This window comes from Homo sapiens, chromosome 12, assembly GCF_000001405.40.
Source record: "Homo sapiens chromosome 12, GRCh38.p14 Primary Assembly".
NCBI classification, from domain to species: domain Eukaryota; kingdom Metazoa; phylum Chordata; class Mammalia; order Primates; family Hominidae; genus Homo; species Homo sapiens.
Window position 1 is genome coordinate 16,191,305 of NC_000012.12, and position 13,614 is coordinate 16,204,918.

The 13,614-nt window shown below is 35.3% G+C and overlaps 1 protein-coding gene and 1 long non-coding RNA gene across 2 annotated transcripts in view; one reads left to right on the forward strand and one right to left on the reverse strand.

Annotated features, from left to right (window-relative positions):
* The window catches only part of LOC101928362 (uncharacterized), a 169,017-nt gene that overhangs the window by 83,796 nt on the left and 71,607 nt on the right, over positions 1 to 13,614 (forward strand). Inside the window, exon 2 of the long non-coding RNA XR_001749028.1 lies at positions 8,201 to 8,341. This is a non-coding gene — a long non-coding RNA (uncharacterized LOC101928362). The remainder of the gene's footprint in view (positions 1 to 8,200; positions 8,342 to 13,614) is intronic.
* SLC15A5 (solute carrier family 15 member 5) overlaps positions 1 to 13,614 on the reverse strand; it is an 89,201-nt gene that overhangs the window by 2,820 nt on the left and 72,767 nt on the right. Inside the window, exon 8 of the mRNA NM_001170798.1 lies at positions 3,041 to 3,149. Coding sequence (NP_001164269.1) covers positions 3,041 to 3,149 — 109 coding nt within the window. The remainder of the gene's footprint in view (positions 1 to 3,040; positions 3,150 to 13,614) is intronic.

Sequence of the window (13,614 nt, forward strand, 5' to 3'; positions counted from 1 at the left end):
ATGAACTTGGCTGTGGGGGTGTCTAGGGTGCTAAAACAGACCTCATCCTACCTGTATTTTGGTGAGGATGTTGTTTCATAATTAATACACTGTCCTCAAGATCTTGAGGACAAGAATAAGTTGGGACTGCCTTGTTCTTGATAGATTTGCCACTATTACCTGGCTGTGAACAGATACACCTTTGGGTTTGATAAAAAATGGGATTGTGATTGCATATGTGCTGAGATTAAATATGATTTGACTTGTAAGTAATGTGTTTCAATAATGCTGTCCCTGGGACATCGGTACTTTTCCCCATTTCTTTGCATGCTTATTGTTCATTAGTGTTTGACAAAAATAATCAGTATAGAAAAAAATCGGAATCATGCGCTCCTCACTGCAGACACTGGTCTTTCTCTCTCAGGTTTCATACTGTGTCTTGCTTAACTCTTCTGACTTGGCCTGTCCAATCCCAATGGCCAATAGGTCCCCAAGGCAGCATGTGCTTTGGCATTGATGTCATTGGTTCTAGCTGCTTAATCTCTGGAGGCAAATTTTCCAGAATCTCCTTACTTCTGACATGTGACATCCATTCTTTTCCTGTGGGGTGCTCGTCAACAGGTGGTAGTGGGTAGAGTTATTTTAACTGAAGGAAATAGTTTTCTCCCAAACCAAGTTAGGAATTGTCAGAGAGCAAGAAGGCAGCTCTTCTATGGCACCTGGAGGCAGCATAGTATAGAAGTGTAGAAGCATGGGCTTCAGAGACAAATTTGGGGTTGAATCCTAGTTGTGTGAACTTGGTCAGTTTATTTAACTAGCTTTGCACTTTAGTTTTTTGATTTATAATGTAGAATGAGAAGATCTATATGCCAAGAAGGTGGTGGGGAGTAAGTGCAGTTGTTTGTGTGTGTATAGCATGCCACCCAAGAAACACAGGCTGCTCAACACATAGAAAATTAATTTCTTTCCTTCTTGCTTTGTTTCTTCCTCTCTCTCTATCTTTATTCCCTCCCTAAGAAAGTATGCAGGAGAAGAGAAAGTAGATAGGAGATGGAGAAGATTTGGTAAGAATCAGATTCATTTCTGAATGAACTTTACATTTTTACTTAGTCACTTCTCATCTTTGGTTCCTCCAATCTCTGGTGTGTTGTATATTTTTATTCTTACCTCCTCCTCTGCACTCCACGCCACTATTTCTCACTTCTTTACAGGAACTCACTAGTTCCACAATCAGAGAGAAGGAATCACACTTGAATATTTTAATTTGGGCCCTAGATGTTAGCTCCATGTAGACTACAAGTTTGCCTGTTCAACTCTATTTCTCTATTGCCTGGAACAATGCTTAGCATGTTGGTTGAGTGTATATATTAATGAGTAAATCCCTGGGCTAATAGATTCTGGGTCCAGTGCCATTTCTACCTGAACTCTGTGCATGACTGCGGTCATCTTGGCCACACCTCAATGTAAGTCTAGGAGAAGAATAAAAAGGAGGAAGAAGAGAGCATATGGCTAGGCATAAGACCATTATAATTACAATTGCTAACACTTCAGAGCATTTACTCATCCTCACAAAAGCCTTATGATACAGTTACTATTTTTATCATTTCCATTTTTCAAATGAAGTAACTGAGGTTTAGCAAGGTTAAACAGCTTGCTGAAGTTTGTATAGCATGTAAATTGTGAAACTGGACTCAACTTGGGTGACTAAATTATTTTATGAAAGACAAGGATCAAACCTTACCATAGGATACAAAATAAAAATTGAGAGATGGTGCAGGTTTTTGAGAATTGCTGGGTGAGCACCACTTATGTGTCTGGAGGCAGTAGATGGAGGGGAATGAGGCCATGTGAAATCTGTTTTGCTACAATGCTGAGAACATTCCTGTTGGACCTTTCTGCAAAACTTTCTGGTTCTCTAATTTGATTTTCAATCTAAGAATGAGATCAGCATTTAGGAAAAGTATATACTGTGAAGGATCAGTTTGATAATTTATACACTTTGGAGTGTAAGAAATGTAAAAATTCAGGGAGCTATTAAGGCTTTTAATTTTGTTTTCAATTCTGCCTTGCATGAGGTTTGATTCTTTCTTATGCTGGACCATAAGCCCAATGAGAGCAGAACACTGGTGAAAATAAACCTTTATTGACATACTGACTTTGACATCTTTCTGGTTTATGACACCACCTATCACATGGCTGATGTTCAAAAAGAGATTTGTTAGGTTAATAAAATAATGACCTAGGCAAAGGTGAAGTGACAATGGATGAGATAATATATGACTAAATGACTAAAGAGATAAATGGATGGAAGGAAGTGAGGAAAATGAAAATCTGCTTAGTTTCTGCTTCGTGACAGACATTGTGATTAGCACTTTATCAATATTCGTCCCCGTAAAACCCACAAGAGGTTTTTTATTTTACATGTGTAAAAACAGAGGCCCAGAGAGGTTAGAGAATTTTCTCAAAAGTACACAGCTGTCCAAGAATATGTCAAGGGGAGAGAGAGAGAGAGAGAGAGAGAGAGAGAGAGAGAGAGAGAGAGAGAGAGAGAGAGAGAGAGAGGCTGGCAATGGATGGGTGGATGGATGGTAGCTGGTACATATTAAGCCACTCTCAGGTGACAAGCTAAGGGATTTTGTAGTTTTTTTTAAATTGACCTTGAAATGGTCACTGCTGATTTAAAAGCCTGAATAGGATCCAAATCTCAAGCATCATTAGATTTCTAGCTATTTGTTTAATGGTATTTGCTTTTAGTGGTAATGATTCACTCGTTCTTATTATCGATAAGCTTATTTCTAATTCTAAAGTGATGCTACATAGTGGGGAAAAAAATCTTGTGTTAGGATATGTTTTAGAATTTGTAAAGTACTATTTTATTATAAGGATTGATGGAAAAAGTGAAGTTCCAAATTGAAATTTCTTACCCTGAATAATCTGTTGAATTGCTCTAATATTCTAATTTGTCCAGTCATGGTGTACAGAATTCCCTGGCTCAGTGATGGTTCCCAGACCAATATTTCATGGACTCAGAAATTTTTCATCTTACCACACACTTACTTACCTTTGTGAAACACTGCAGAATCCCAGGACGTTCAACAATGTTAATGATGCCAGGAAGAAGAAGAAGCTTTCTAAATTGCCTTTGTTTAATGTGTTTGGAAACCAATTGCCTGTTTGGAACAAATGTAATTGTTATTCAACTGCAGAGTTGTAAGTTTCTGTGAATATTTTATCATTCCACAATTCATAGAGCTTTGTTCGCTTCAGTAATATCCACAAAGCAAAAAAGCTCATCTGAAACTTGATTGTCAAAATTTATTTAATTCTGTAATTAATAGTAAAATGATAAGCAAAGCACCCCAAATATTTTGAAGGTCACAAAACACTCTTAATTTGCATCGCACAAATATAGGTGTCAGAAGAACTGGGTTGTAAAGGTAATCCTGACTATTCCATTAACTTGCAGGAGCCATGTGTGTATCTTATTTATCCTTATATTTGTAGTATTTAGAACAGTGCCTGGCATGTGGGGATTATTTGGCAAATATATAGTGAATGAATGAAAAGTATTTTCTATGACCAGAGAGTCTGTTTCATATGCTAATTGTAAGGATAGTGAGATGATGTATATAGGTGATAGATGTTAGATTATTTTCACAACTTTGATAAATCCAGGGCTACCTTATGATAATATCACAGACCTCATTGGTCAAATTACTTGCAATCTCTGGCTAACATGGAGATTTTCTTTTCACCTAATAAGTAAATTCTTCAATTTGATACCACCAAATAAAGGATCTGTACTTCATTATGATGTCATACTGGGTATATATGAAACTATTCAAGGTTCAAGGTAATTACTTTAATTTGCTTCTAAGTTTTGACTTTTGCTTTGGAGCTGTGCTATAACTCTATCTCTATCTCTGTCTCTGCCTCTGTCTCTGTCCCTGCCTCTGCCTCTGTCTCTATCTCTATCCACGTACATACTTTTTATTTCTTCAGTAAATTTTGGGGTATTGTTTAATATATAAAATATAATGCACTATTTTATGAATATTGTATATGTGATACTTAATTTTAGGCAATACTTTAAAAACAGCAAGGAGAACTAGTATTACCAAATGTATTTACATTGCACTACAGAATGCTTAAAAGGGAAAAATCTAACTTAACAGAGAGAATTTAATTTAACTGTAGCTAGCTCTGAATGAGTTGAATTTTTTTACTGTTATGCATTATGAGAACATGAAATTATCATCTTTGAAGACACCAATGACAAGGTTTCATCATTTCCTTGCCTTTTTATAGGAACAACTCCTACAATGGAAGGTGAAGAGGGTGTGGGACCAGAGCAATCAGTCTGTTGACCCAATAGGACTGGGCTTCAGTACCATCTTTGGCACATGGGTTGTAGGGTTGTTTCCTGCAGTAGAAAGTGGTTCTTGGCCTCTCCCTTGACAATGCATACTTATAAATGGGATTTAACTTAAATATTCTGATCATAGTCAGCAAGTGCATAAGTATGACAATTGTGATTAATTGTGCCACTTCCCATTTAAAGCTGTTTGTCTTCTGTCTTTTACCTACTCAATGACTATTACTATGGATCAGCAATGAAAATTAGCTGTGTCTATTATATTCTTGGACCTATATCTGAAAGCTAGCCTAAATAAATTATAGCACAAATAAATAAAACGGTAAAGTGCAACTTACAAAATAGGTATTATTTTGTCAAAAGAACTGGGTTGTAAAGGTAATCCTGATTATGCTATTAATTTGCAGTAGCTGTGTGTGTCTTATTTATCCTTATATTTTCAGTATTTAGATCAGTGCCTGACAAATAGGGATTATTTGGCAAAATAATACCAAAATAGGTATTATGATAGGTATAAATAAGTATTACTATACCTATTTTGTGGTTCCACTTTACCATTTTATTTGGGTTCTATTATAATGAAAATTTATGGTTTTATTGCTACAGTTACATGATGCCTGTATCTGGTGTTTAGATGAGTAAATGAAGTTCACTGAATGTTTCTCTATAAGTCTTGTCTATTGGATATTGTGTAGCCTTTTTGATGTGTATATGTGTGCTTTTGTGTGTGTGCATGTGTGTGTGTGTGCCCGTGCATGTGTGCACACAGGAACTAAACATTTGATTGTACTTGAGTGGGGAGAGTTGAGGTGGAGGTCAAGATAAGGTGCAATAACATCCTACTTATTTTCAGGAAGAACTAAACCATCCTTCTAAGCCTATTCAAACAGTGCTATTTTTTCCCCTCTTGAATTAATATCCCAATTGTATTTCTGTCCTTTTCATTTCACATCAGCACTTTGCATGTCATGCGATTATACCTTTTTATCACCATGTTTCTCTGACTAGTGTAAGAGGAGTTTGCACAGAGTATGTGAAGCTTCAGAATTAACATGACATTAATTCTTCTTGGAGCATGAATTCTGGTCCATAATAAGTAATTGAAAAGACTATATTATAAGAGAGTCAGATGAGGAAGAAGAATATAAATTCACTAAGATCTTTAAAGGTAAAACATAATATTTTAAAGAAATTGTTTCATTATGGCAAATACCAGCCTTTTGGGAGATACTACTAGATCCCCCTGGGCACACCAGAGCACTCTCATCACTGGGGATGCTGTGGAAAACAGAAATGACAAGTACTATGACTTGGTATTTGGGAGTTTGTGGGTGACAGGAGAGAAGGACATTTGTACTAGAAAAGTTAGAGAAAGATAGTATAAATCTGTGGATATGGACAAAACATTTTGTGAGTGGGATTATCTTAAAAAAAAAAAGAAAAGAAAACCCCAAACCGAAGATTGCCATATTACGTATTCAAACTTTCTATAATGCTCCTGTATTCATTCTTAAATATCATTTTTAGCATGTGGCTTTCTTTCTAATGCTCATCTTCATTCTAGTCCCACATTTTTTCCATATTTAGATTCATTTAACATTCTCTGTATAGCTGATTTACATGGTAAAGAGAAGCATCGCCTGAATTGATAGCATGGGACAAACACTTGTATCAAGTCAGACAGAAAGATTCTTCAGGACACCTAAAGTTTACTTTATTTATATGGAGATGATCTGTCTATGTGAAGAGACAGAATTGGGTATAAAAAGATATAGAAAGGGCATGGGCTTTAGTCAGGTAGACTTTTAAAGTTGAATCTTGCCTTAACAGTGTAGTCGTTGGGCAAATAACTGGACCACTTAAGCCTCAGTTTCTCTTCTATGAAATGATGATAACAGAATCTCCCTTACTGAGTTGTCATGAGAAGTTAAAGAGATAATGGTTGTCAAGGGCCGGACACAGAGGAGGCACTCCACAAACCTTAGATTATCACCTCCTCCTGCCCCCTTTCCAGGTAGCTCACACACCATCATGTAGCCTGAGCTTGATCTTGGGTCTGTCTCCTATAAGATACTTCTTCATGTTCTGTATGCCTTTTTTTTTTTTTTATCATTGTCCCAGGACTGGTTGTAAAATGTTCCGTTTAACATTGTCAGTTGACTCCGCTCTTAGGTACTATAACTTTATTTTAGTAGCTTATAAACTTTTATTGTCGTAATTCACATTTGTGCCATTTTTCATCTGACATTTCCAGTAGCTGATTGAAATCAGGAGCATCCTTGCAAAGGAGACATAGTGAAGACTTGAGGTCTAGAATGAGGCTAACTAAACTTCTCCAGATCGCAGGATAGCTGAACAGGAGCATGAGAAACAGTGTGCCACATAGAGTCTGATGGGTCATTCATTCCCTGCCATTCGTAATGCCCACAGTGCACCCTAGTTAATACTTTCATAATATAACCAGCTAGTTAGTAATAGTGTTCAACTGCTGAAGTAGTAAAGGACTCAAAATATTTAGCATTGTTCAGAATTCCTCCAAATATCTCTTGCTTAGCTAGATGTATTTGTTCATTTGAAAGTCATTTTTTAGAATTTTTTTGTGTACCAGAAAATGTGCATTCCATGCTGCTTAAGAAAAGGAATTCATAAATTAGTAGGGGACAGGCAAAGTGTAATTATTCTGGAGCATTAGGCCTTGTAGACACTAAATAAAATGTTTCTATTTATCCGAAATTATCACAGTCATTTTAGAGACAAAGGATTGTAGAATCATCTAGACTCACTCTTTATTTTATATATTAATGAGTGAAGGAACAGAGAGGTCAAGTGAAACATCACTCAGCAGAACCCTCATCTTCCTGCTGTTATATCAAATGCACTGCTGTAGTCCACCTCTTGGTGTTTAATGCAACTACCACTTTTATGACTTTCTTTAACATCTTCTCAACAGTTTTAAAATGTCTGGATTTCAGTCTTTGAAATCACTTACCTCAAATTCTTTCTAAAATACCTAAGGACGACATTTCTACTCTGGTCCTGAGACTGGCATTCAACCTACTGTGAGATTCTTAGAGCAATTTACACTAAATTTAAAGCTTTTGAAACTGGATTGAGAAACATATATCGTGATACACACATGCTATAACACTATAAACTACACAAATTTGCTAATATGAAAGAAAAATACAGTTTATTTCTCTTCTATCTAATGCCCTACGTTGTAAGGCTCAAAATTTCATTTGCTGCCTTGATGCCTTTGAGCCTCACAGGCCCCAAAGGTCTAACCACATGTTCCCCTGCTTTCATTAGATAATGCTCCTCACCCAGAGGGAAGAGCTCCCCACCTGGCTAGTTCCCCTATTAGCCAGGCCAGCTGCACTCCACCCGGGTCTCAACCTAAGACGTTTCACTTCCCTGCTAGCTCTCAACATTATTCAAAGCAACCAATCACATTTAGCCGACAGGAACCAGCCTGTCACCACAGCCCTTTGTTACTACAAAGCCTGCCCCCCACAGACCCTGCTTGTTCACTGTATGCCTGAGTGCAACCCCAGGTGACCCTGCACATATCAGGGTATTTTCCTTTCCCAGGCTGTGAGTGTATGTGACTAATAAACTGCTGTCAGTCTCATGTGTAGACTGTCTCAAAAAAAAAAAAAAAAAAAAAGGATGCATGTTTTCCATAATCTCATACTATTTAGAGTAAGAGACACCCCCAGGTCACCAATGTGGTGAATAAGAGATGATCAGAACAGACCCTCACCACAGAAATCAAGGTCAGTTCTAGAGAAAATAGTAATAGCTTTTGCTTTAATGCATAATTACTGTTTATTTTTCTTTTGGAAGGAGGAGAAAAGAGAAAGGAACCCTCCCATTCATCCTTCCGTATCACTACTCAGAACCAAGTACCTCTGCTTCTAAACTACATCAGGGAGTGCAACTCCCATGGAATCACAGGACAAGAAGAAATGGGAACAGATATTTAAGGTAATAGATATACAAATTACCTTGATTTGACTATATAAATTTATCAAATGATCACACGTATCTTGAAAACAAGTACACCTAGTATGTATCAATAAAAAATTTTTTAAAATAATAAAAGAAGTAATGGGAATAAGACATAGTCATCCAAGAAGTATTGGATGCAGTGCAACCTGCCTGACCAAAAATAAAACATTATAGGTGAGTATGAGTTCTGGGGGGTGCCAGATAGCCATGTATGCTTGACACTGTGGTCTATAATCACTCTATCTAGTCAGAGTGTTAGAAAACCTAAAAATGCTGTAAAGTTCTCATTGTAGCCTAGCAGTCTTGGGCTTAATGGGTCACTTTAACTGTAGACTTTAGCAAAAATATCCACATACACTCTCAGTTAGTAAACACTACTCTCAGCAAATCTCTTCTTTTGAGCATGAGTAAACAGAAAAAGGGTCAATATGGGTAAGGAAAAGTGACTACGATACATGTTATAAATGTTGCTTACAGGAAACACCCTGAACACAGAATGACAAAGCTTAAAATAATAATAATATTATTAATAATAATATAATAATGAATGAGAAACTCATAAGACAAAGACAAAAAATACTGGAAAGTACTAATCTCAGCAAAGTTGAATTCAAAGGAAAAACTATTTTAAAGGGACATTGAAAATTTTTTTATATTGATAAAAAACACAATTCAAATTGAAGATATGCCAGTGGATTTCCCTTAAGTAATGAAATCATAAAAAAATCTGTTGTCTTTTGGAAAAAATGATATATACGTAATTCTTATCAATGACTATAACACACTCTTGCCAGTTTTTGATCAAATTGTCAAAGAAGAGATGTAGAGAATTAAATTAATGTGATTGACAAGTGTTTAATAAAGATCACAACATTGTTTAGTATGAAGAAAGAATATTTCACCCTCTTACAGAAGTTTCAATAACATTAGAAATAAACCAAACCTCCAAGAAATTGAAGATATGCCTCTTGGACATCTAACTGGTCAATGAAGAAATGAAACCCACAATATCAAAGTATTTAGAAAATGAAGAGAATGAGGAAATTGCATTTATACATTTAGAGATACAGATATAAACTCTACCCAGAAGCACATTTAAAGGCACATAGGTTTTCATTTTTAAAGTCAGAATTAAAATAAATCAAATAAACATTCAAGACAAAAAAATTAGGAAATGCATAAAACAAATCTAAGGAAAGTAGGAGTAAGGAAATAGAGATGAGAACAGGAAATCAATATATTAAACATTTTTAGATTTAATAGTTCTAAGAGATGATTCATTGGAGAAAATATGACAAATAAAACTGGCAAATCCAATCAGAATATGTAACAACAGATACAGAGGAGATAACAATGTTTAGTTACGCGTATGCTATTTTACAGTCAAAACTCTTACGGAAATGAGATGAGTACTTAGGTAAACATTAATTGCCAAAGTTGAACCAAGAAGAAATGGAAATACTTAAGGACCAATAGTAGTAGGAAAAAGTTACAAAGAATTACTTTTTAAAAAGAGACATTAAGATCCCTACCAAAATTCCACTGACACTTTTCACAGAAATAGAAAAAGCAATCCTAAAATTCATATGGAACCACAAAACACTACAAATAGACAAAGTAATCTTGAGCAAAAAACAAAGATGGAGGCATCACACTACCTGACTTCAAAATATACTACAAAGCTATAGTATCAAAACAGCATGGCATAAAAACAGACACATAGACAAATGGACCAGAGTAGAGTCCAGAAATAAATCTGTGCATTTACAGACAACTGATTTTTGACAAAGGTGCCAAGAACAGGCTGATATGTTTAGGCTTTGTGTCCCCACCCAAATCTCATCTTGAATTGTAATCCCCATAATCCCCATGTGTCAAGGGAGAGAGCAGGTGGAGATAGTTGAATCATGGGGGTGGTTTCCCCCATGCTGTTCTCATGATAGTGAGTGAGTTATCAGGAGATCTGATGGTTTTATAAGGGGCTCTTCCCCCTTCACTCAGTATTCTCCTTCCTGATGCCTTTGAAGAAGGTGCCTTGCTTCCCCTTCACCTTTCACCACAATTGTAAGCTTCCTGAGGCCTCCCCAGCCATGCTGAACTGTAAGTCAATTAAACCTCTTTCCTTTATAAATTACCCAGTCTTGGGCAGCTGTTTATAGCAATATGAAAACGGACTAATACCAACAAAGGAGAAAGTACAGTCTCTTCAATAAATGGTGCTGGGAAAACTGTATATCTACATGCAGAAGAATGAAATTGGACACTTATACCAGATACGAACAAATAAACTCCAAATAGATTAAAGGCCTCAATGCAAGACATGAAACTGTAAAACTACTAGAACAGGGGAAAAGCTTCCTGACATTGGTCTAGGTAATGATTTCTTGAATATGACAACAGAAGCATTGACAATAAAAGGAAAAATAGACAAATGAGAATGTGTCAGACTAAAATGTTTCTGCACAGCAAAGGAAATAACAGAGTGAAGAGATAACCCACAGATTGGGAAAAATATTTGCAAATTATATATCAAGTAAGGGCCTAATATCCAAAACATGTAAGGAATTCAAGATACTCAGTAAGAAAAAACCCAAATAGCTAATCGAAAATTGGGCAAATGACCTGAATAGACATTTCCTAGAAGAAGACATACAAATGGCCAACAGGTATATAAAAAACTTTTCAATATCAATGATCATCAGGGAAATGCAAATTAAAACCACAATGAGATATCACTTCACACCAGTGAGAACGTTATGAAAAAGATGAAAGATAAGTGTTGATGAGGATGTGGAGAAAATGAAACCTTAGTACACTGTTGGTGAGAATGCAAATTAGTACATCTATTATGGAAAGCAGTATGGCGGTACCTCAGTAAACTAAAAATAGCATTACCATAGCATTACCACATGATCCAGCAATGCTACTACTGGATATATATCCGAAGGAGTTGAAATCAGTATATCAAAGAAACTTTTGTAAATTTTAGGATACTCTCAGTTTGTTGCAGTACTGTTCACAATAGCTAAGATATGAACACAACTAAAGTGCGCATCAATTGATTAATACATTTTAAAAAGTGGTATATATACACAATGGAATATTCAGCCTTAAAAAAGAAGAAAATTCTGTCATTTGTGACAATATGGATGAATCTAGAGTACATTATGCTAATTGACGTAAGCAAGACACAGAAAGACGAATACCATATCATCTCACTTATATGTGGAATGTAGGAAAGTCAAACTCACAGAAGCAGAGAGTAGAATGGTGGTATTACCAAAGGCTGAAGTGGGGAAGGGGACTGGGTGGGGGAAGGGGAAATATTGGCCAACAGGTACAAAGTTTGAGTTAGACAGGAGGAATTAGTTCTGGTGATCTATTATACAGCATGGTGACTCTAGTCAATAATAATGTATTGTATATATCAAAATTGCTAAAACAGTGGATTTTAAATGTTCTCATCACCAAGAAATGATAATTATGTGAGGTGGTGGACATGCTAATTAGACTGATTTGATCATTCCACAATGTATGCAGGTATTGAAACATTACATTGTACCCCATAGATATATACAATTACTATTTGTCAATTAAAAATAACATGCAATTTAAGAAAAAAGAGAGATATTAGGCATTTTTAAATTTTCACGGAAAAAGTAGATCTTTTCTCTGGATCTTTCCAGAACATAGCAAAAGAATCATAATTGCCAACAAGTATTGTTTATTGCACATATATAAAGATGATTTAATATTGAAAAATTTACTAAATGCACCCTAATGATAGGTCCAGTTTCTTATGATTAAGAAATATCATAAGGTGATCTTAATAGCTACTTAAGAAACATTCGATACAATTTAAACTGATTTGTTTACCTCTTAGAAAACAAGAATAAAGTTTTTGTATGATAAGGAATATTCTTTAAGATCACCTTTATAATCCTACAAATATACTTAATAAAAAAATAAGATATCCTCATTAAGATCATGAGCAAGATATGATGTGACTGTCTTCTGGTATTACCATTGCCCCGTAAGCTCTGGGTCCTGAGAAAGATGCAAAGCATAGGAGTAAATATTGGAAATAAGGATAAAAATTACATGTACCTGAAGATTAATTTTGCTGAAAAAGTAAAAGGGTCAACTGAAATACTCTTATAAATTTACCAAGTTTATTAAATTGGATGCAGATGAAGACATACACATTAATAAACAGTAATAATCTCCCTGTATAACAGTGATCACCTCAGTGAGTTGTAATGAGGGAAAATGAATCAGTTCAAATAGCAAAAAGGAAAAATGTATAAAATGTCTATGATAATTTCAACAAGAAATGATCAGGATTTATATGAAGAAAAAACCTTACTGAACTCAATTTTGAAATATTAAATTTAAAAAGTATGTTATATACTTGGATGGACCACTACCTGTTGCAAAAACTTCAGTTTTTCTAAAATTAACTTACAAGTTTTACTCATTTTATTAAAATAAAAATAGGATTGGGGTCTGGGTGCAGTAGCTCACACCTGTAATCCCAGCACTTTGGGAAGCCAAAGTGGGCTGATCACTTGAGGTCAGGAGTTTGAGACTAGCCTGGCTGGCATGGTGAAACCCTGTCTCTACTAAAAAATACAAAAATTAGCCTGGCATGGTGGCAGAAGCCTGTAATCCCAGCTAGTTGGGAGGCTGAGTTGTGAGAATTGCTTGAACCCGGGAGGCAGAGGTTGCAGCACTCCAACCTAGGCAACAGAGCGAGACACTGTCTCAAAAAAAAAAAAATTGGAGAAAAAATAATAAAAATGTGAAATTCATCTAGAAGTATAAGCCATGGAGAATATGGTTTTCATAAATAAAAGATAACCAAAAAGATAAGTATGAGTAATAACTGATATAAACTATATATCATAAAATTATTATAATAATTAAAAGGAGAGTGATACTAAGCTAAAATAAAGAGGCAGCTGAAAGGAACAGGACAGAAAGCCCTGAAACTGTCCCAAGATCACCTACAAATATGTTAAAATATGTAAAACTGATTAGTTTCATTTCACTTACTGTATGGTTGTGAAATATTTAAAGTTTAACCAACTTTTCACAACCTATATTAAATACTGTTGTGAATGTTGGTTATTTGAAGCAAATAAGTATTTTCTTTAATAAAACCAAAATGAAATCCACATGAATAGTAAAATTAGTCCAAAATGGGAAACCATTAAAATTATACAACCATAGATAAATGCAATGAAATT